General features: G+C 55.2%; 1 protein-coding gene across 2 annotated transcripts, besides 1 other annotated feature; it reads right to left on the bottom strand.

Moving 5' to 3' along the window:
* On the bottom strand, positions 6,390-20,053 carry AQP1 (aquaporin 1 (Colton blood group)). 2 transcript variants are annotated; one of them, NM_001329872.2, is made up of 5 exons: positions 19,613-20,053; positions 9,676-9,840; positions 9,262-9,342; positions 8,298-8,456; positions 6,390-8,079 (listed from the first exon to the last, which is right to left on the bottom strand). In NM_001329872.2, exons 1-5 carry the CDS (start codon positions 19,994-19,996, stop codon positions 7,897-7,899), a joined length of 972 nt encoding a protein of 323 aa, NP_001316801.1. In that variant the 5' UTR covers positions 19,997-20,053; the 3' UTR covers positions 6,390-7,896. The 2 variants fall into 2 exon arrangements, with proteins under 2 accessions (NP_001316801.1, NP_932766.1); NM_198098.4 differs by having other exon boundaries at positions 6,390-8,456.
* Positions 9,993-10,173: a silencer, noted in NCBI's record as "fragment chr7:30961348-30961528 (GRCh37/hg19 assembly coordinates)". NCBI's record gives its function as "represses an EF-1alpha promoter that drives an FKBP-Casp9 reporter gene in an ReSE screen in HepG2 liver carcinoma cells {active_cell/tissue: HepG2}" and the evidence as "EXISTENCE:reporter gene assay evidence [ECO:0000049][PMID:32094911]".

The following is a 21,643-nucleotide window of genomic DNA, read 5'->3' as shown; positions in this document are numbered from 1 at the left end:
CCCATGGAGGCATTCCTGGGCATGGCGTCTCAGACCTCACATTCCTGGAGGCAGATGCAGCTGTTCCTCCCAGCCCTGGAGGTCACTGCCAGCAGCGGAAATTCTTGGAGTTCGTCTCGGATGGAAGCTGCCACAGGCCCGTCAGCTACAATCCAGGCGCGGTAGCGGCTCACCAGTTCCAGGGAACTTCAGCTACAATCCAGGCGCGGTAGCGGCTCACCAGTTCCAGGGAACTTCACGAACAGTTTAGCAGAGGAGTCACTCCCACCCAAGGGCCCAGAAATCCTCCCGCAGGGCCTGGAATGGAGACTCCTCTTTAGGTCTGCAGAGACACAGATGGGAGAGAGGGGGGGAAAGCAAGGCAGGACAGAAAAAGGTACAGGCATAGGGAGGGCGAGGAGATCCCTGAGTCCATCTCCTCGCTGCTGAGACCCAGACACAGGGTGAAAGCACAGAACGCTAGGAAAGGGCACCCTGAGGTGTATTTCAGAGCTGCGGCACGTGCTTGGCGTTGGCATGCACTTGGCATTGGCACGCGCAAGGTGGCCTGTTGGAACTATGGGGCCACATCCCCTGTGACCAGCCTCCACAACCTGTCTCTGTCAATGATTTCACTGGGACATGAAACTAGCTCTGGCCACGCTATGCCGTCTTAAATATGGAATTCACCTCCCAGTGCCTGACTTCACAAGGAATGTCAGCTGAGGAAATGTGATCAATGAATACAAAGGTTACTGACATTCTTATCACATTTCGAATTTATTATACATTTCTTATTGAAAAAAAAATGTTCACTGACCCAAAAAAATATTTTGTGTATAATCAGTCCAAGGTTAGACGTTGGATCTGGCAAAGAAGATGGATGAGAGCATTGGTCCTGACAGCCTGGTTTGGCAAGTGAGGAAGGGGAGCCCAGCCTCCCACCAGACCCCCAGGAACTTGCTCTTCCCAGCAGGAAAAAACAACATCAGCTGCCCAGAACTCGGCAATGTGCCTCTATTCTGCGACTGGGTCTGGATAAGATGCCCTCATATTGTTCAACAGCTAGATTTAAAGGTTTCCTTGGAGTCCACATGAATCCTGTCATCCCCGGCAGGCAGTAGCCTGACACAGTCCAGAAGACCCTGCAGCTGGGCCCACAGGCAGCTCGCAGACGTGCACAGATGCAGCGTGGGCATTCCTGCTGACAGGCCTGACATGACTCTCCGAAGAACTGAACCTCCTATGCACGTGCACACACACACACACACACACACACACACACACCCAAAGTGATATTCCAAATATATTAACACCCTGTGTGCCATAAGCACCACCCCCAGCCATCAACTTTACACGTACATGATTAAAATAAATTTTCTTACTTTCATTGGTTTGATTTGTTTTGGTTTCCTATTTGAGTTCCTTAAAGGCATAAGTTATTACATCTATTTAAGTTGCATTATGAAAAATATAAGCTAAGTTTAAAAAAAAAACACTCATATGAAATAAGGCACCAGGGACACTTTGACCCCTTTCAGAGTGTTCAAGACTGCTGTGAATTGTAAGCTTCAATCCTTAAGAACTTTTTCATCTGTACTGATTCTCTGATTTGCTTTTTTTGGATTGGACTCTTTTGTTGAATCAGCTTCCCTCATATTACTATTTCAGAGGGAGAAAGGATAATACTCTTCTACAAATTATATATCTACTTACCTACTTAAGCTTATTGAGAAATGTATGCCAATTCACCCTTAATGAACACAAGCCAGGCCAGCCTTCTCAAATCAATATTCTACCTGGAGAGCATGCTGGCTCTAGGCAAACTGAGTCTAGTAGCTGGTGGTGACATCTGTTAGGAAGAACACGTCTCTTGAGTTCCACATAACTCAAGGCACAGAGGGAGCAGAGCCGTCAGAGCACAATGGGAGCATCCTGGGGGAAAGATGCCCCCCAGGTCCCAGCTGCACCCCACACATGCACTGTCACTGTCCCACCTGGCCTCACTCCCTGGGCATTCCAGATGAAGCAAAGCACCACCTCCAGGTCAGGGAGGGACTGGGACACCACAGACATCACAGAGAAGGGACGACTTCACCCACTCTCCTTACGGGTGGGGAGACTGAGGACCAGAGAGGGCAGGAGCCTTGGACTCCAGCCTTGGACTATGTGCCCCAATCTGCTGACACACACACACATGCACATACACACACTTTTTTTCTAACTTGGACCTTGCTGGATAGACACCTCTTACTGCTTCCCACCCAGGGTTGATGTGTAAAACATATACCATCCTGGTATTGTGGGGACACCAATCCATCAGAACTATCCCACAACTTTAGTACTGGACAGGGTCCGAGGGGCCCCCTTAACACATTGAGTGCTGGATTGTGGGGAGGTCTGGGGGAGAATAGAGAGAGGCCGGGAAGCTAGGAAGGCCAGAGAGCAGGGATGGGAGGATGTTACTTGGATAGCTCAAAACAGATGAAAATATTTTAATATTTTAAGAGCAGGTGGGCTGGGCACGGTGGCTCGTGCCTGTAATCCCAGCACTTTGGGAGGCTGAAGTGGATGGATCACCTGAGGTCAGGAGTTTAAGACAGCCTGGCCAACATGATGAAACCCCGTCTCTACTAAAAATACAAAAACTAGCCAAGTGTGGTGGCACACGCCTGTAATCCCAGCTACTCGGGAGGCTGAGGCAGGAGAATCACTTGAACCCGGGAGGCAGAGGTTGCAGTGAGCTGAGATCGCACCACTGCACTTCAGCCTGGGCAACAGAGGGAGACTTCATCTCAAAAAAAAAAAAAAAAAAACAGGTGAATCTGTACTAGCCCGTACGGCTGAAGATCAGTTGTGCTCTCACCCAGTTCCAGATTGATGCGCTGGAAAGAACAGAAAAATAAGCAAAATCCTACATGCAGAGAACATGGCTTTATTGGAATGAAGCAGAATCACCTAAGCAGGATGAGCTCATTAAAATTGCTGGATACCCTTTGCCATAGGTCTCTCTGCACACCAGGGCCCAAGGTATCAGTGGGGACTAGTGGGCTCTTGAGGGCTAGGGAAGACACCCCTGTAAGCACGGGCTTCACCTGCCTTCCCTACCTACACAATCGCCCCCTTTTTGGCAGTAAGGACAGTAAACATCACTACCTTTGGGTCTTTGGGCCCCCAAGAATGGCCCCATCCTGGCCCCCAGCTCAGCAGCAAATTCCACTCATCGTCCTCATTGTATTCTAAACCTAAAGAAAACAAGGTGTCATGCCCAGCAGTTCCTCCATGAAACATTAATCACTGTCCCCTCCTAGACAGGCTTCTGACCAGTGAAGGCATGACCTACAGGAGCGATGGAAAAATCCCAATGGGCCAGCACATGGCCTGGCCACGCCATGGGTGGGGGCCCCGGCACCAGTTCCTCCAGTGCTTTTCCAGACTCCTGGCTTGGGTTCCAGGGATACTGAGGACCGCCTAAGAATCCCGAAAGAGAGAGAACCCTCCTTGCACCTACCGCATCCCCCAAGAGTGCCGTGGTCCTTGTGGTCAAGTGGCCTTGAGCCACCCACACCCTTCCATTTGGGCCCTCGGAGCCCACAGGAGCTTTGAGATGGATGACGGTGCTGGGAGCAGGGCCAGGGCTATGGGCCACTAACCCCGCTGAAGCTTCACCACATCTCTGACCAGTGGATGAATCCTAGTCCACGGTATTTCAGAAATCAAGTCTTCTCCCTATAACCTCTCAACACCCCTCCAGGGCCAGGAAAGATGAATCCCCTTGATTCTGGAGGAGAAAGTGAAATGTCAAAAAGAAAATATGGATCTGTAAGGATCTCAGACTCCTGAATGTTTAGAAACCCAGAAGAGGTTGATCCGATGCTTGAGATCATAAATATGTGTGGCTGAAGTGAACATTCACTGCTGGGCTCTGGCTGACCTGATCTTCCTAGGGTTCCTAGGGGGCCTCAGAATAAATGGAGCAATTGCAGAACCGTAACTTTTTGCTCTTGTGAATTTAATGGAAAGACAAATATTCTAGGATTCAGTGGCTGCTGGATTACATCCTGCTTCCTTCTGGGCCAGGTGCAGAGGGCATGACCTTCCAAGCCAGCTGAGCCATTCCGTGTGCAAGTCTCAAGGGGAGGGCCAGGAGGGTGTCTGATGGAGATAGTGACCTGTTGTCTGGTCTCATCAGGGACCCAGTCAGAGATGCGTGACAGGTGCCCCTCACCAAGTCACATCACATGTGCAGTTGCCTGAATGTTCAACAGCCTGAGGAAAAAGATTGAATCCTGGGAGTTTTCAGGAAATTTACTACCTCCATTAAAGTCTGATGAACAAACAGACAAGGTCTCAGCTGCCCAAGGAGCACCACTTCATCTGTTATTTCCTCAAACCTCTCCCTGTGTTGGGCTGTATAGAAGATGAGAAGATCAGAGTCAGGGGTAGCCCCAAAGAGATGGGGTGCCTGGAGCACTAAACCCACAGGCTGGAAGGTGAGGAGGAGTCTAGGATCCCTTTAGCCCAAAGCTGTTGCCCCCTGGCCTGATGGGTAGCTGAGGGCCTGTCTTAGTGCATTATTATCCCTCATGGTGCAGCATTGCCCTTCCCCTTCTCAGGTATTCTGCTGGGTGAACATGGTCCTCAGACACTTTCCTCCCAAGGAGGGGGAGAGTCAGGCCGTGGAAGGCAGCAGGGAGGTTTGGGTGACACCACGTCCAGTTAGCCCTGGAATGAACAGGCTTCTCCAGATGCCAGATGGCTCTGTGGCTGGCCCTTCTCCTCCCTTCCCCCTCCCCATGCCCACTCTGCAGGAGTGGCTGCCTTCTTCATGCAGTCCGGCTTCCTGGCTAGCCCAGAGCTTAACTTAGCAGGAATCATGACAAAACCGGCCCAGACCACATCGTGCAAAGAGCCTGATCTTTGAAGCCAAGCAGAATAGGTTCAAATCCCAATTCTGCCACCAACCTGCTGTGTGGCCTACGGCAAATCATTTCATCTTCAGGGGCCCTGGCGTCTTCTACAAATGGGGACACGTATCTCTACCTTCTAAGGATGTTGTAAAGATTAGAGCGAATGTATGCAAAATCTCAGAGAGATTCTTCACACATGGTAAGTGCTCAAGAAATACCAGTTCCCTAATGGCTTATTCAGGCCCTGCCTCGTGGCTCTAGGATTCTAAAAGTCATATCTAAGCAATACACTAAAGAAGGCTGTGCCATGGAGCGGGGGTGAAATGGGGGTGGGGGTAGAAGTGAATGAGTAGGAGTTGAGGTGGCGTGGCTGGGCCCATAGTGGTGATTGGGAGGGCTTCAGGCCAAGAAGAATGGGACAAATTAAGGAGACAAGCTGAGAAGGGCTGTGAGAGATAGCCTCGGCACACCCTCACAGGCAGGCCTGGGATGCAGCGGGCTGGCCCATACCCAATTCCCATAGCTTGGCTGGCACTCTGCCATTTATATGCCCCTCTTAAGCTGGGAGATAAGCTTCCTTATCTATTAAATGGGCTAGAAGTTCTTGCAAGGGAACGGAAAAGAGTGTGCAGATGTGATGCACTGATTTGCAGGGACTTAGACAGCCTAGTGACCCAGGGCACACTTAAATTAGAAACCCTGTTCCATCAACATGGCCTCAGTCTTCATTGCGGATGCCTAGCCCCTGGCTCCCTGAGACCCAGCCCCCCTTATATCACCATCAGCCAGGCATTCCACAGAGGGGACAGGAACCATGTGTCTCCCAGGAGCAGTGCTGGGGCCCCAGGACCTGTCCATACACTATTTCCTGCCTCAGCCCACTGCCGTGGTGATACCTGTTCCCTATTATCAGGCACTACTAAGTGTGTGTGCACGTCGGGAGGGTCAGGAGCCAGGGTCCCAGTCTCAGCCTGAAGTAGCCCTAACTGCACTGGGCTCTGATGAGTGAGTCTGTCTCCCATGAGACGCCCAGCCCAGGTCAGATGGGTTGCAAATGTGAGTGGAGGGAGGGAGGAAGGTGGAGCAATCCCTAGTGTTCCCTGGGCCCTGCTCTGTGGAGGGTAGAGGGGATGAGGGGGCTGTTAGACTTCAGCCCTGCTTTCCCCCATCCCTTCCATACTCCGGAATCAGAAATGGCTCCCATCGGTCCATTTAAACTGATCAGAAGCCTGCCCCTTTTCCCTGCCCCCAGGTCTCCAAAGTCATCCCACTGGGCTCTGGAAGTCTCCTACTAGGGGCAGGACCCTGTGTCCCTCAGATGGGGTTCTGTGGTGTGGCTGTATCCATTGCCTGAGATCAGGGGTCTTGAAGGCAGAAGGGGAGGCAGTGGCTCCTCCTCAGACTGGGTCTCTAGCAGTGGCCTGATTTCCTTGTGGAGTAATCCAGAAACATTTGTGGGGACACAGCATCAAAAGAAGAAAAACTACAGGAAGCCTGAAGGACCTTACAAGTCATTTTCCTTTATTTTCTTAACATATAATGAAATTCCAACTCCAAAGAGACATATATGCAGAGCAGACAGATGCAGGGCCTTGGTGTGCAGCAGCCTAGAACCAGGCAGGGGGTGGGTGTGACCCCTCTCCCCTCCATCACAACTCTCCCCACTCCTGGCCCCTGGCCATTGCCCAGGCAGAAACTGAGAAGCTGGAAATGAGAGGAATCAGCCTCGTGGTCCAGGGAGTAGCCAGAGACAGGGCCTTGGTTACTAGGCCTGGCCAAATCATTGTCTAGCTGAAACCGTGGGCCTCAGTTTCTTTATCTGTTAAATGAGCTAGAAGTTCCTGCTAGGGAATGGAGAAGAGAGTGTGCAGATGTGATGCACTGGTGATAGTTAAGGGCCTTCTGGTTGTCCCTCTGCTTCTAAATACCTGCGTAATTGTGTCTCTTGGTTTCTGTTGCCATCATGGCTAAGTGCACAGTGGTGGAGCTGCTCTGGCCCTGGTGGAATTGAAAGGACTTATGTAGATAGAATCCAGCCTTCAAAGCTGATCCTGATCTCTGAACTGTCCTTGGGCTGCAACTATAGCTACCTCATTAGGTCAAGGCTGACCTCTCCCCTCCAGGTCAATGCAGAGGGAAGGCTGTGGCCAGGGGTCATACAGCAAGCCTGTGCAGGTTATTCAGCTGCTCAAATGCCTCTGATCAGGAGCTCATGAGCAAGGGAAGAGCTTGCTCCATCCTGGTCAGGACCAGCTGAGGGCTTGGAAAACCCCCAGGCCCAGCAAGGGCATCTGCCTCCATGGGCTGACCTGCATCAGGGTCTTTCTGTCCTCAGGCTTTGGGCTTCAGACAGCTCAAGTGCTCTTTGATAAACATACACCAGCATAATGGTGACCTGTGTCTACACTGACAAGAGGGAGTAGAGAACTGAAGAATGAGCAAGATAATGCAGTGATAGATGGAAAGACCAACTAAAACTCAGAGAAGTAACATGGGTATTTCTCCTTCACCCTCTAAATGGCTTCATTCTGCAATAGCAGGCCCTGTGTAGGGAAGCCTCTCCATAGGGAACAGAAAGTTCCAACTACCTGGCTGTCTGTCGATCTCTGCTTTGTAGCCTGTCTGCTCTGCACACATGTACACAGAGGCGTGTGGCGACAGTCATGCCCCTGGGGAAAGAACACAGGGCAAGTGGAAAGAGCAGCCCTGGTCTAGACCACGTCTTCTGGACCCATGCTGTGTTTGCACTTAGGGGCTGCAGGCCTGTAGAGCTCTGCCGGTCCCTGCCACTTTGCAGAAGGAGGTCACTCAGGCCCTGATATAGGGACGATTCCAAGGTCAGGCAGTAAGTCCGAGCGGGTCAGGGGCTTGGGAGCAAGCAGAACTGAAGGAGCAAAGCTTGCCCCCTCCACTGCACCTCCTGGGATCTCTTCCCCCTCCAAGCACCATTGGGAGCAAGGTGCATGTTAGGAAAAGAAGGAGGGCCGTGCCCAAAGGCACAAAGCAATTACGGTAGAATCCCAGGCACTTGCGCAGGTGAGTCGGTGAGCAACTTTGGGGCGAGGGGGGACTTTCTGGCACACCTCCCATCATGCTCTGAGGGGCGACTAGCAGGTGGGTCCCTTTCTTTCACCTCCTCCACAACTTCAAGGGAGTGGGTGAATTGGTAAATCTTGGTCCCCAGGAAGCTCTGAGGCCAGGAAACAGAAAGAGAAAGAAAGAGATAGAAACACCCCCATAAGAGGCTTGACCATGCAGGTCTGGCAGATCTTGGGGAAGTGACTTTGGCCAGCTTGTCAGAGTGTCTACAGTATGGATTTCACCCCTCCCCTCCCTCCGCCCGCCCCTGCCCCTGCCCCCTACGTGGATGCCCGGGCCAGACCCCTTCTATTTGGGCTTCATCTCCACCCTGGAGTTGATGTCGTCGGCATCCAGGTCATACTCCTCCACCTGGCCGCTGGTCCACACCTTCACGCGGTCTGTGAGGTCACTGCTGCGTGGGGCCAGGATGAAGTCGTAGATGAGTACAGCCAGGGCTCCCCCGATGAATGGCCCCACCCAGAAAATCTAGGAACAGAGCAGGTGTGTTCAGAGGGCTCCACTCAAAAGCCCCTGGGAAGCGTTCCCTAGGTTACCCCACAGCCCACCACCCCGTTGGACAGGTTTTTCCCACCTGGGATGGAGGCAGGTAGGAGAGCCAAATCCTAACATCATGATTCCGGTGCCCCTCAGAACCGGCCCAGGCCAGAGTACGTGGTAGGGTCAACTCCTTGCCTCTGTGGGGCCCAGCTCAGGCATGGGCAGTAGCAGCCCCTTCTTGAGGAAGGCCACTGCCCCCACACTCCCAGCTTTGGAAGGGCCCCAGAGACCATTGTCTAATGCAAAGCTGGCCTAGCACATCCACATCCACAACCATAAGAGCTAAAATCCACTGAGCGCCTCCTCTGTGTTGAGCTCAGTTTACAGATGGGGAGTGAGCCCTTTCCTCTTCTCGGCCACCCTGAGAGGTGGGCACCACCATATCCCCCTCCGCAGCTCAGGAAACCAAAGCTCAAGCACACTGCGCAAGGTCATGCTAAACCCGAAAGTGGCTGAGCCAGGATTTGGAGCCCCACTTTTAACCACGCAGCTGGGAAGACCTGGAGGCCAGGCAGCATGGGGCAGGGCCGAGCTGGGAGGGCAGAGACTAGGCCTGAAAGTGCTGGCAGTGTGACCCCCAGCCTGCCTCTACATGGCAGGCCTCAGTTTCCTGATTTCCTGTCCTCTGGCTGTCTCCCAGAGCCTCCAGAACAGGAAGGGACACTGTGAGGGTGGGGTCAGGCTTACCATGGGACACCAAAGCTTCCCACCCCACCCCCCGTGGGTCTCCTACCCAGTGGTTGCTGAAGTTGTGTGTGATCACCGCGGAGCCAAAGGACCGAGCAGGGTTAATCCCACAGCCAGTGTAGTCAATCTGTGAGGGAAAGAAACAGAGGGAGGGGCGAAGGCAGAGAGTCATAGGTGAAGAGAGAGTGAGAGGAGGGAGAGGTTGGAGGGAGAAAGAGAACAATCAGGGTGGGGGACAATGAGACCCAGGGAAAGAGGAGTGCTGACCCCAAGCTGGGCAGGAGGTCCCTGTGCTCCTCTCCAGGGCAGGACCCTGCCCCCAGCCCCCAGCGCTGACCCGCCATCCTCCACCCAATGGCAAGAGCCCTGTCGGGAGTCCCACTGGCTGCCCATGGCAGGGCACCCCACCAGCCCCCGCCCTCCCTTCCCCCACCTCCATCTGGGAGGGCCCCTGACTCACAGCCAGGAGGTGTCCAAGGGCTACAGAGAGGCCGATGGCAAGGGGGGCTGAGCCACCAAGGTCACGGCGCCTCCGGTCGGTAGTAGCCAGCACGCATAGCACCAGCTGGAGGGTCCCGATGATCTCGATGCCCAGGCCCTGGCCCGAGTTCACACCATCAGCCAGCTGCAGGGGAGAGAGGTGGTGAGGACTGGTGAGGAGGGTAGGCAGGGACTGTGTCCCAGGACCCCAAGGATACCCAGGCCTCCCAGGCCCAGGCATGAAGGGCGGACCCTCAGATGGGCCTTCAGAGCCCATCACAGGGTCCCAGGCAAGCCTACACGGCAGGTAGTGGAAATCAGGCCTTGAACCCACCCCCTGTGTTAATGAAACTCCAGCCCAGCCCCTAATACCTGCCTAGACCCAGGCCCCACTCTGCCTAGAAGCTGGAGAGGCCTGGGGTGAGCTGGGGCCTTTGCATCCAGCTGCATCCAGGCCAGGGTATTCTGGGGTACCAAGACCAGAGGCAAGGGGCGAGCCCCAGGCATGAAGGTGATGGTCAGGAGCACTCCTAGGAGAAGAGATGCAAAAAGGTGGGAAGGCCCAGCAGGGGACACGGCTTCATACCCAAAAGTCCAGAACATTCCACCCCATGCCCGACTGCATCTAAATTCCAGGGCTGAGGAGGCCTTCGGTGAGGTCCTGGCTCCCTCCACCCCTCTTTCTCCTCTGTGCCTGCCTCCCTATTGTCTCCACCCTCTCTCTCTCCTTCTCCACCCCGTCTCTTTCCTTGGTCCAAGGCCTGTCTCCCATTGCTTCTGGCCCTGCCCTCCCTGTCTCTCCTTCTCTCTTCTTCCTCCCCACTGCTGGCCTCAGCCTCACCCTCCCTCTGCCTGGCCAGATAGGCCCCGCCACCACCGTCTGGCTGCCACTTACTCCTGGGCCACTTTTAGAAACATGACTCATGGAAAGAGAAGGGAATGGAAGCTGCTGTGAGGTCATGAAGGCCCTCCCCATGCAGCTGCCCCCGGAGGACCCCTCCCCAGGAAGCCCCAGCACCTTCCACTATGCTTTGTGGCCGTCCCAGGGGCTAAGTGCACTCACACAGGGGAGATGGACCACATCAGCAAAGGCTCACTTGCAAAGATGCCCACTTGAGGCCACTTAGGCTGCCTTCTCCCAGGCAGGGCTGGTGCACCCAAACACTTCCCAGCTGGGAGACAAACTACCCAGCTCCCATCCTCAGGATATGGGAGTGTCTCCAAGGCCATAGAGAATTTTGCAAAATCCAAGGTAGGGGGGCACACCTTGGAGGTTTTCCCAGCCCCACCCTGAGGCCATCCTACAAGAACAATTCTCTTCCCGCCTTTGTCTGCAGCCCTGGGTTACAGGGAATGACTCACATCCCCTCCCCTGCCTTGCAGCCCCAGCTTTGGGCCTTTCCTGGCGGACCCCAGGGCTACATCCCTTAGGTCCGCCAGCCCTCTGGCCAATGCCCAGTTCCCTTTCTGTCCCAAGGTTGGGCCAAAGAGGCAGAAGCCCTGTGTTCAGGTTCTGACTCTTCTACTTTCTGGCACCATGAGCATGGCCTATTCCCTCTGGTCTTCAGTCTTCCCATCTGCAAAATGGATCTCATTGTCCGTGCCTGCTCTCCAGAGCAGCTGGGAGGTTCAAAGGCCAAAGGGGCCGTCTCAGGGCTTTTGGAAAGAGTTGTCGACGCAGGAGGGATGGGGCAGTGGTAGTGACTCTTGTTTTGGTTCTTCTCATTGTGTGTGCAGGATCTGGGGACAGGCAGAAGGAGTGACGGCGGGTGGAGCTGCTGGCAGAAGCCTGCCCAGAGTTAGGACAGGCTGAATGGGGTTGAGGCTGGTGAGGCCAGCCCGGCTAGTCCTGATGCCCACCCACACTTGCACCTGTGAGGCCCCTGTCCCTCTGTATCTGAGCCCTCAGGAAGCTCGTGGCTCCTTCTATTCCTCTCTCTTCTGCTCTCCAGGGTTGGCCTAATTGCTAGCTGGCAGAAGTCCTGAAACCAGCCCTTCCCCGATGATTAATGGAGTCATCGCTGTAAGTGGCTCCCGCCTTGGAGAACCCTCCCAGCCCCATCCCTCACAGATGTGACCAGAAAGAGCTCATCTCCTCTGGTTCTTAACCAGGTGCGAGAGCCCCAGCCCCTACCCAAAGACAACATGCTTTTCATGCAAAGTGGGCAGAGCAGAGGGTGATAGTTCCAGGCCCTGTACTCTGAGTCCTTGGGAAGGGGAGGGGTCAGCCACCTGCCCTGGGAATTCTGGAATGTGCCTTCGTGACTGCTGAGAACCACATGGGCTGACAGCCTTCCTCTCCAATACCCACTACCACTACCACCAGGAAGCCTCCCCTGATAGCTTCAACATCTACTGACAACCTTCCTTCAACTATCTAATACACTTGCATTATTTACATCTGGAAACACTTGATAATTCAGAATTGGAAGGGGCACTCAAAGGCCTGTTGAAACTCAATGTCCAGGAAAGAGCAGGTAAAATACTTCAAATGTACGTTACTGTTTACAACCCATTAAATTTGAAAACTTGCTTAAACAAGGACAGTTCCCATTGTAGTCACTTGTTTTATATATATGTACATATATATTTGCACATCCCCAGGTAGTTTTGCCTGGCCCAGGTCTTATTAAGGCAAAAAAAAAAAAAAAAAAGTAAGAATCAGAACAATTCTCAATTCTCAATTCTCAATTGTCTTCCCGCTTTTGTCTGCAGCCCTGGGTTTTGTGAATGCAAGTATTACCGAAAGAATAATCCACACATTTCTTCTGAAGTGTCAGAAAGATACAAGCTCTCCATTTTGTGCTAAGCCCTTGTAAGCCCACTACTCAAGGCCCAGTTCAGACCCCACCAGCTCCTAGAAGCCTTCCCAGATCCCTGGCTGGAATTAACTTCTGCTCCCACCCACCATGCCCTCACTGAATTCTCTGTGCATCTTGTAGGAAATCAATCTTCCTGCGGCCTATGTGGGTGCATCTCCTCCTGGCCTGGGAGCTCGGTGAAGACAGAGTGGGGGACCTCTGCCATTTCTCTGCCCACGCCTCTGAGGGGAGGCTTACTGTGTGCTGATAGAAGTGGCAGAGAATGCTAATTTTCTAGAACTCCCACCCTTGCTAGGGGCAGCCTGGCTCCAGAGATGCTCTCCGGACCCAGGGCGGTCTTCTTCACTTTCTAGCTGGGAAACAATGGGCCAATCATTAGCCTCTGGGAGCCCTAGAGGGCAGCCTGTGCGATGGCTCAGTGAGATGATGACGCAGAGGCTGAGGCCCAGGGAGGATGCAGCAAAGCCAGGATCCTTGCCCCATAGTCTGTGCCACCCTACACTCACAGGTCAATGGGCTGGCCACTCCTAGGCCCAGTCAAGGGACCTGGCTATTCCCAGCTTGGACTTGGGAGCTGGCAGAAGGTGGTTCTGTGGCTGCCAGTGTGTCCTGGCTCTAGGGCAGCCCAGGGATGATCTCTCCAGGCAATGTGCTCTAAGCACTCCCTGCTACCCATAGACAGGCCAACCAGGGTGGCTTCCAAGGCATGGGGCCCCTGACTTGGCCTGGGCACCCTGGTGCCCTGGCCTTGGGGAAGAGCAGGCTCCAGAGCCAGGCCTGACTGAGGCTCTGAGCTTTCGTTCTCAAGGGATAGGAGACATCGAGGCCTGCCCTGCCCACCCCAGTGCCTCCAAGACTCAGCACTGGGCAGTGAGGGGACCTATGTGGGCTCCAGAGTGTCACTCCTCCATGGGTGTTCACACGTGGACATGGGGGGATTCCTGGTTTTGTGTGCCTCTGTGTGTCTTTGTAGATAAGTGTCTGCTGTGTCTGTGATGACCACATGTGTCCAGGGCTGACTCCCTCTTTCTCTTTTTTGTTAGATTGTAAGTGGTTTATTACACAATAATTACATTTTAAAAATCTATAAAAGAACTGGCCAGGCGCGGTGGCTCACGCCTGTAATCCCAGCACTCTGAGAAGCCAAGGCGGGTGGATCACAAGGTCAGGAGATCGAGACCATCCTGGCTAACACGGTTAAACCCCGTCTCTACTAAAAATACAAAAACAAAATTAGCCGGGTGTGGTGGCCTGTGGTCCCAGCTACTCGGGAGGCTGAGGTGGGAGAATGGCATAAACCCGGGAGGCAGAACTTGCAGTGAGCCGAGATGGTGCCACTGCACTCCAGCCTGGGCGACAGAGTGAGACTCCGTCTCAAAAAAAAAAATAAAAATCTATAAAGGAACTGCAAAAATCCCCCACTTGTATGCACCAAACAACATAGCCTAAAAATAAATGAGGGGAAAATTGACAAAATTACAAGGAGGACTGGATCACCCTACCACCAGAGTGAAAAATGTTAACAATCTTCTATTAGAAATGTACAGAATAAATGAAGCAGCCGAAAACTACCAATAACATGATCAGGGAGGGTTTGAACCCCATAATTAACAAGCTTGACTTCAGAAAAATATGAAAACCCTGTACCCCTGAATTAGAGAATGCACACTCTTTTTCATCAACTGATGAGGTACTGACCAAGTGCCTCGGCCTCCCTGGGAACAGCTATATCATACAGGCATCCCTGCAGGACATGAGGTCCTGGAGGCTGTGCTGTGTGTTTGCACTGGTATGTCTGATGGCACTTCTGGGTGCCTCACTGTCTCCCTGTGTCACACACCCACATAGCTGCCACTACCAGCTAGAGAGGGAAGAGAAGAGAAAAAAATGAGCCCCCCATGTGAGAAAGCAGCAGGTCTCAACAAGGCCTTTATTTGCTCCCAGAAGCCATTTCATCTTCCTGACAAGAAACAATACACAAAGCAATGGCTTCCTCCCTCCCTCCCTCCTTCTTTTCCTAACTCCAGGGCAGGGAGAGGAAAAGGCTCCATTGAGGAATCCCCGCCCAACCCTCCTTGGGTCCCAGAGTCTGAGTGGGACCACCCAGTCTTGAGAATGTGCTTTGTGTACCATGTGTGTGTGTCCTCCACGTAAGAGCACATGTGTGTGCATGTTTGTGTTTGTGCCATGTGTGTACACTTTGGAGCAGCAGGAATAATCAAGGGCTAGGAGGCAGTGCCACCTTGACAAGTCTCCACGCCTCTGTGGGCTTCAGTTTCCCCATCAGTAAAATGGAGGCCTTGGCCCAGATTCGAGCCCCCGCAGTCTCCAAAAGTGCCTCCTGCCTCACATCGGGGTGGTCACTCTCCAGCCCCAGATCCAGAAACCTAAGCACAGGATCCCCCGCAGGCCATCAGAATTGCTGATCTCAGCATGACACAAAGCCTATGCTGCAGAACCTGTCACCCACCCCACTGGACCCCCGCATAGACTAGCACCCCCAAAGCAGCCTCCTCACCAGAAAGCATCTACTTGCACACCCCTAATGGCAGGGAGCTTATTGACTTAGAGACAGCCCCTTCTTCGTGTCAACAACAATATCAACAACAACCTTCTTTACACTGAGTAGAAATCTGCCTTTCAAGGGGCCCTGACAGCGAGATTGCAGGCACTGAAAGGAGCTGCTGGAAGGGCCGGGGGCATTTTCCGGCCTTTCCGGATATCTTTTAAGTTGGAGATTTCAGCCTCAGAGTCTGCCCACCCCACAGAACTGTAGCTCCTGGCTGAGTGAAGACAGCCCCTCATGATCCCCCTGGGCACCACTCCATGTGGGCAAGGAGCCCCTCTCATCCCCATGGGGAAGCCCTGACTGAGGGGATCCTGGCCACTTGCAGGGCCTCGCGGACAGCATTTTCCTGCCTTCACCTCCCGGTGTGAGGGCTCAGATCCCAGCCACTCAGGAGACTCCAGACTCATTGGTGCTTCCAGAAGGTAAGGGCCATGGCCCCTGCTGGGTGGGGGCCCTAGACTAAGTGGGGGTACCATCTGGAATTGGCTTGCAGTGAGCTAATGGCCACTTCATGCTGCTAGAAGGTTGCCTGGGGTGGAGAAGGGAAGGCAAGGTGTGACAGGAGGCTGTGGCCTGGGAGTGGTGAGCAGGGGGTGAGCCCCTCAGACAGGTATCCCAGGAGGCCGTGTCCCCTCTCAAAGCATGGCCCCTTCAGAGTTCCCAGGGCAAATCCCAGTCAGGGCCAAGCATCAGGGTGGGCAACACTGGGACCGGCTGGGCTGTTCTGAGGTCCCTAAAGGGGAAGCAGCGTCAGGATTTTCCATGGTGAGGGAAGTCTCCACCACAAAGCTCCCCATCTCTGTGCCCTCCCCCTCATCTGGGGCTGGCGGAAACAGTAATTATATGTCCCAGATGTGGCATCACCACCCAGCCCCCAGCCCCTCCCTGGGCAGGACGGGCTGGGCAGGGACATGGAAACTCTGCCTTCCTTTCCCCATCCCTCCCCTGAGCTCTGGAGGAGGCAGCAGCACCCCCGGGAGAACTGGTGGCATGAAGAGGCCTCTCACTCTATGACTGGGGAAACTGAAGCCCAGAAAAACGGGATAAAGGGGAGAACTTAGGGCTTCAGTCAGGCCCCTGATGCTGCAGGTAGAAACACTTCTTGAGCAGTCAGGCCTGGAATTAGCAGGGCTGGGAGAAGACCCCGAAGAGGGTAGCTTTGCCCTCTGCCTGAGCCCAGCGGGCTGAAATCACAGGCTCTGGGAATCCAGACCCCTTCCCCCGGATGCAGCCCCTGGCCCGAATCCTGAGCCCTCACCACCCTCCTCCCATGCACCCCCAGCCTGACCATACCCAACAACTCCCGTACCACGGCCCTCACCTCCTCCTAGCCTGTGCTTGCTCACACAGTCCCTCTGCCCCTTCCCTCTGCAGTGTCTCCACATTCAGGCTCCTACGAAACCTCCTCCCTGATGCCTTCCTGGCCCTCCCACCCCTTAAGTTCAAAAGTTCCCGGGCCCGCCCTGACACCTCTTATCGCATCTGCCTCCTGCTTCATATCACAGGCAGCTGGGCACTGGCTTATCTTGACCTAGGGCTGTGGGCTTCTCTCGGGAGGGAGCCGGGCTAACCCAGCCCTGCATTGAGCACCCAGCAGTCCCTGGTCATGCTTGCAGGGAGCCGGCTGAGCAGACCAGACAGCAGAAGAATGAAAAAAGCCAGCAAATGCCAGGAATCCTGAGTCCACCAGCATCTCCTACTTCTCAGAGCCCAGCCACACCCTGCTATGTCCCTATCTCATAGACAGGAACTAGGGCCACACAGGCCAGTCTGTTGTGTGATGCCACATGGTGTTAGTGGCTGAGCTAGGACAGGGACAGGTGAGAGTGTCCACCCCAGCCTCAGAGCCTCTCACCCTTAGCCAAAATTGGTATTTGGCTCTTAGAACTAGCCGGGACCTTGCAGGCTGGACGGAGGCCCACGGTCTCTCTAGGGCATATCCTGAGCCCTGAGTCAGTCAGGAGAAAGTTGTCCCCAGCATGTCCCGAAGGGACACCCCCTGACTCACCCCAACCACTTCCTGCCACATCTTTCTCTGTTTTCCTTGGAAATCTCCATGCCAACCACTTGCCCCACCCAGGTTTTGACTGGGCTGGGGCTCAGGGCCAGAGAGGCTGCAGGAGCCTACCCCAGGTCATGAAAGAGAGTGTGTCACCTGCTGCCCAGACTGTTCCCTGCTCCTCTTGAGGCATCCAGGCCACCCCTGAGGCCCCTCCAGTTCCAGGGCCAGTGTCTGACGGGAGCCCTTAGAGGGGTACCTTCTCTATTTCTAGGCCCAGAGTTGAGGTCCTGAACCCCACCCTTCCACTGTTGGGACAGGACAGCGCCTGAGCCCCCACCATCATGCTAAGCGCCCTTATGTTCAGCACTGCCCCTGCTGGGCTGCTCTTAGCCAGCTTTCGTGGGATGGGTGATAAGCTCAAAGCAATGAAGTGAGCTGGCTGTCTGGGTGTGGCTGTGAGGTCACAAGACCTGAGTTCCCTCTCGAGGGTCAGGGTCCGCAGCTCCAAAGAAGCTCAACAAGTTAGCAGTGGACACGTCTTGAACCCAGGTGTCTGCCTCTCAGCCCAGGGCCGGACCCCACACTAGGCTGCTCCTCTTTCTCTCCCATTTGCAACACGCCCAGCCCAAGTATTGGGGTGACTATAAAAAATGAAGGCCAGGGAGGGAATGGGGCACGGGAGGCTGGTGTGGCCTCTGTTCCAGATGGCACAGAAGGGGCCCACCCTCCCGCCTCTGCCTCGGATGCGCATACTAGAGGGTGAAGCCTTCGCCAGCAGGTGCAGAGGCTCCGCCCTGTGAGATGGGAGGGAAGAGACGGGGCCAGAAAGCCTGGAAATCACATCCACTCCCCTACAGGGACGCTCCCCCAGCCCATCATACCCAGCCAAGCTTCAGTGTGAGCTTGACCCTACCCAGCAGAACTCCCTGAGGCCACAAGCTCTGCACCCACTGGCAACTGAGGCCTGGGGGGGCAGAGCTTGATGTGGCCTGCCTGAGCTCTGTCCCGTACATCCCCCGCGGCCACGTCTAAACTGGCTAAAGTCTAAACTCCAGCCCACGGAGCTAATCTTCAATCTTGGGCCTAGCAGAGGTTGGCTGCAGAGGAGGTTGGGTGAGGTGTCACCGTGACACAGAAGTGCTAAGCCCCCCATGGCCAGGCTGAGCCAGCTGCCCTCTGCACCAGACCTTCACCTAGCCTCTCCTGGGCTGCCAGCCGCAGGATCTGAACTTTGGCTGGGAAGCGAGAGGACAGCTGCTGTAATCACTATCTGCCATCTCTGAGGCGCCCTCAGAGATGGCCCACACCGTCCCCACACCCACATGCCCTGCCCACAGCCCCGCCAGCCTCATCTCTCTAGACGAGTCCTCCTCTCTGCTCCTTGGCTTCTCTCCCTCCCTGTAAGGGCACCCCCAGGCCTGCTCACCTGTCCCTTGGGCCCTCAGAGACATCCTCCAAGCCTTCCCCAGTCTCTCAGGCCAAATCCTCCCCTGCTGTGGCCCAAGCCCGGCCTGAGTTTGCACTTGTCTGAGGAGCTGGGAAAGGCCGTGTCTGGGACAGCAGGCAGCTGCCACCAGGGCCAATTTGCCATGCTAAGCAGCCCAGGAGACATTCTTTTCCACAGCTGCCACCCAGTCACCAGCATCTGCTTGTCATTAGTGACCCCAGTCCAGACCCCATTCAAGCCAGGAGCCATGGGCACGTGTTGCAAACTCACCCCCACACACCCTTACACAGCAGCACAAACATGCACACAGTTGACACAAGCACAGAGACTCATGCTGGCAAACACATGCACACATACACACCTTCACACACACACACGCACACGCACATGCACACACACGCCACACCTCTCAGTGCCTAGAGACCATGGAGCCCAGCGCTTGCCCCCCAGCCCATACTGTAATCCAGGAAAACTGCCTTCAAACAGCCCCAGAGAGTGTTTTCACTCCCTTATCTTTGTCTAATCTCAGGGGCAAAAGAGTGGAAGAGGGCCTTTCTCTTGATTCCTAGAGGTGGTTTATTTGGAAACTAGTGTGAATATGGGGGGCTCCCTGAGGGAGTCCTGCTCACACACTTGCAGAGCCAGCTGCAGACAGGCTGGGCATTTGGTTCAGGGTGGCTGGGGACAGCGGGCAAAGTTTCCCCAGGGTGCAGGGCTGCAGGAGGAGGGAGCTGGCGGCACAGGCAGGACTGAGAAGGGCCAAAAAGCTACAGCCAAGGGGCGAGGAACTGCTGGCCAAGCTTATTCCCCATAATAGATGCCCTGCAGGGGACATTGGCAAGACCATTATTCTCTGGATCTCAGCTTCCCACAGTGCCTGGCAGAAAACAGGCTTTGGGAGGCATGCATAGCTGAGTTCCAGCCCCAGCTCTTCCCCCCAGCTCTCTACGTGACCTCCAGCAACCTCTTGTCCTCTCCGTTCCTCAGTGTCCCCATCTGCACAATGGGCAGAGGATGGAACCAGTGCCTTTCAGCATCATTCTAGAACCCCCCCAAGCCCAGGGACACCCCACTCACGTCATTGCGGCCAAGCGAGTTCCCAGTCAGGGAGGAGGTGATGCCTGAGAGGATGGCGGTGGCGACGATGGCCCCCACGCACTGGGCGATGATGTACATGAGGGCACGGAAGATGCTGATCTGGCAGCTGAGCAGCAGCCCCAGTGTGACAGCCGGGTTGAGGTGGGCGCCGCTGATGTGGCCCACACTCTGCGCCAGCGTGGCGATGCTCAGCCCGAAGGCCAGCGACACCTTCACGTTGTCCTGGACCGCCGTCTGGTTGTTCCCCACCGGGTATTTGAAGCCCAGGGCAGAACCGATGCTGATGAAGACAAAGAGGGTCGTGGCCAGGAACTCGGCCACCACTGCCCTCCAGAAGAGCTTCTTCTTGAACTCGCTGGCCATGCTGGCAGGGGGCTTGGCCTGAGACCGCTGCCGGGTGCTCAATTCCCTCTGAGAGCTGAGCCACAGCCTGGGCTGGGCCTATTTATAGGGCCGGGGGGCGGGGGGAGCACAAAGGGAGGAAGGCCTCTCTTCGCTCCTGGCCCGCCCCACACCACACAGACCTCCTCTGGATGGATGCAGACACGGCTGTGCTGTCGGCCTGCCAACTTTTTCCTTCCTCCTCTCCCCCTCCCTCTCTCTCTCTCTCCCTCCGCCCTCAGCCCTGCCCAGCCCAAGGAGGCAGGCAGGAGGCAGCCGTTGCTCTAATAGGCTTTGGGAAATTCTTCCAAGCTGGCCCCACTCAGGGAACCAGAGAAATCCAGGTGTCTCGGCCCTGTGTGCAAAGCTCAGGGAGTTCCTGAGGGCAGAGCCAGGTGCTCCGGAGTGGGTGGGGTGGGCGGGCTGGACTCAGTGGGTGGACGTTGCCCTCCCTGGAGGCAGGTACCATGATCCTGCTGGCCTGACATCCCCATCCCGACCCAGAGAGGCACTGGCCTGGAGTCCCCGGGCCCAGGGCTCCAGAGGGGCAGTCAAGTCCTCCCGCACCGCCACTGCATGCCATGTTAGGGATGTCCCAGAGTCCCCAGTCCCCCAGAGCCAGGGCTCTGTGGATGGGGGCACGGAGGCATCAGAAGTTGCAGAGAGGTTGTCTGTGGCTGCCCTGCATGCTGCGGTTGAGGGCAGGCCCGAGCTAGGCAGAGCTGTTAGAAAGCCCCCGCCCTGGGAGCTCCCAAACTTCTCGACAGCGATTTGAACCAATGATTTGAGGGCAGGCTGGTGAAGATAGGGACAGTTTAGGACTTTCCTCTCAAGGCAGTCACACTGGCGGGTCACTGGGAAGGTGGAAGGAATGGCAGCCCCACCTGGCATTGGAAGGTGCTGGAGAGGAGGGAGGGAGGGAGCAGGAGAGAAAGGCAGAGACAGACAGATGCTGGCTGAGGGGAGGAGAAGAGACAGACAAGGAGAAAGGAAAGACAGTAGCAGGGAAATAGAGCAAAAGTGGAAGTGAAAGAGACAGATCCCCCAGCCAGAGACAGTGAGACAAGCAGGGCTGAGAGAGACAGAGAGAGCGCAAAGGGCTAGGAAAAGACAAACTGAAACAGGGGAGATAGGACTGGACCCAGAGCCAAGAAGCAGAAAGGGAGAGATAAATGAGGAGAGGCAGAGAGCGGGAGGGACCAGACGAGCCCCTGCAGAGGGAGGGGCCGAGGCCCTGCTGCAGATCCCCGTGGGCCGCCTGTGCCCCGGGCATCTCCAATCCAGAGGCCTAGCGCCAGCCAACAAACAAGAATCTGGACTCCAGGGCCAGCAAGCTGTCAGGAACCCCTGGGCCTGGCCCTCTTGCCTGCTGCATGGAACGTGCTGGAAGAACCAGGCCCAGAAGGGAGGGTCCCCCTGCGTCCCCTAGGGAAGGCCTGGGATGATCTGGGCTCTCCTCCCACCTCCTGCCTGCCCCACCACAGTCCCACTCGGGCGTGTTGGCATCTTCCCATTTATAGGTGGGAAACTGAGGCCCGGTGAGAGGACTTTTCTAAGTGTGCCTGGGGCAGGGCAAGGATGAGTGGGTCTTATGCCTCTTGTCCAGGGGCTATCCTGCAGAGAATGACA

Source organism: Homo sapiens, chromosome 7 (genome assembly GCF_000001405.40).
Source record: "Homo sapiens chromosome 7, GRCh38.p14 Primary Assembly".
Classification (NCBI taxonomy): Eukaryota; Metazoa; Chordata; class Mammalia; order Primates; family Hominidae; genus Homo; species Homo sapiens.
The sequence above is the reverse complement of the archived record's forward strand: the minus strand, read 5'-3'. Positions and strand labels throughout refer to the sequence as shown.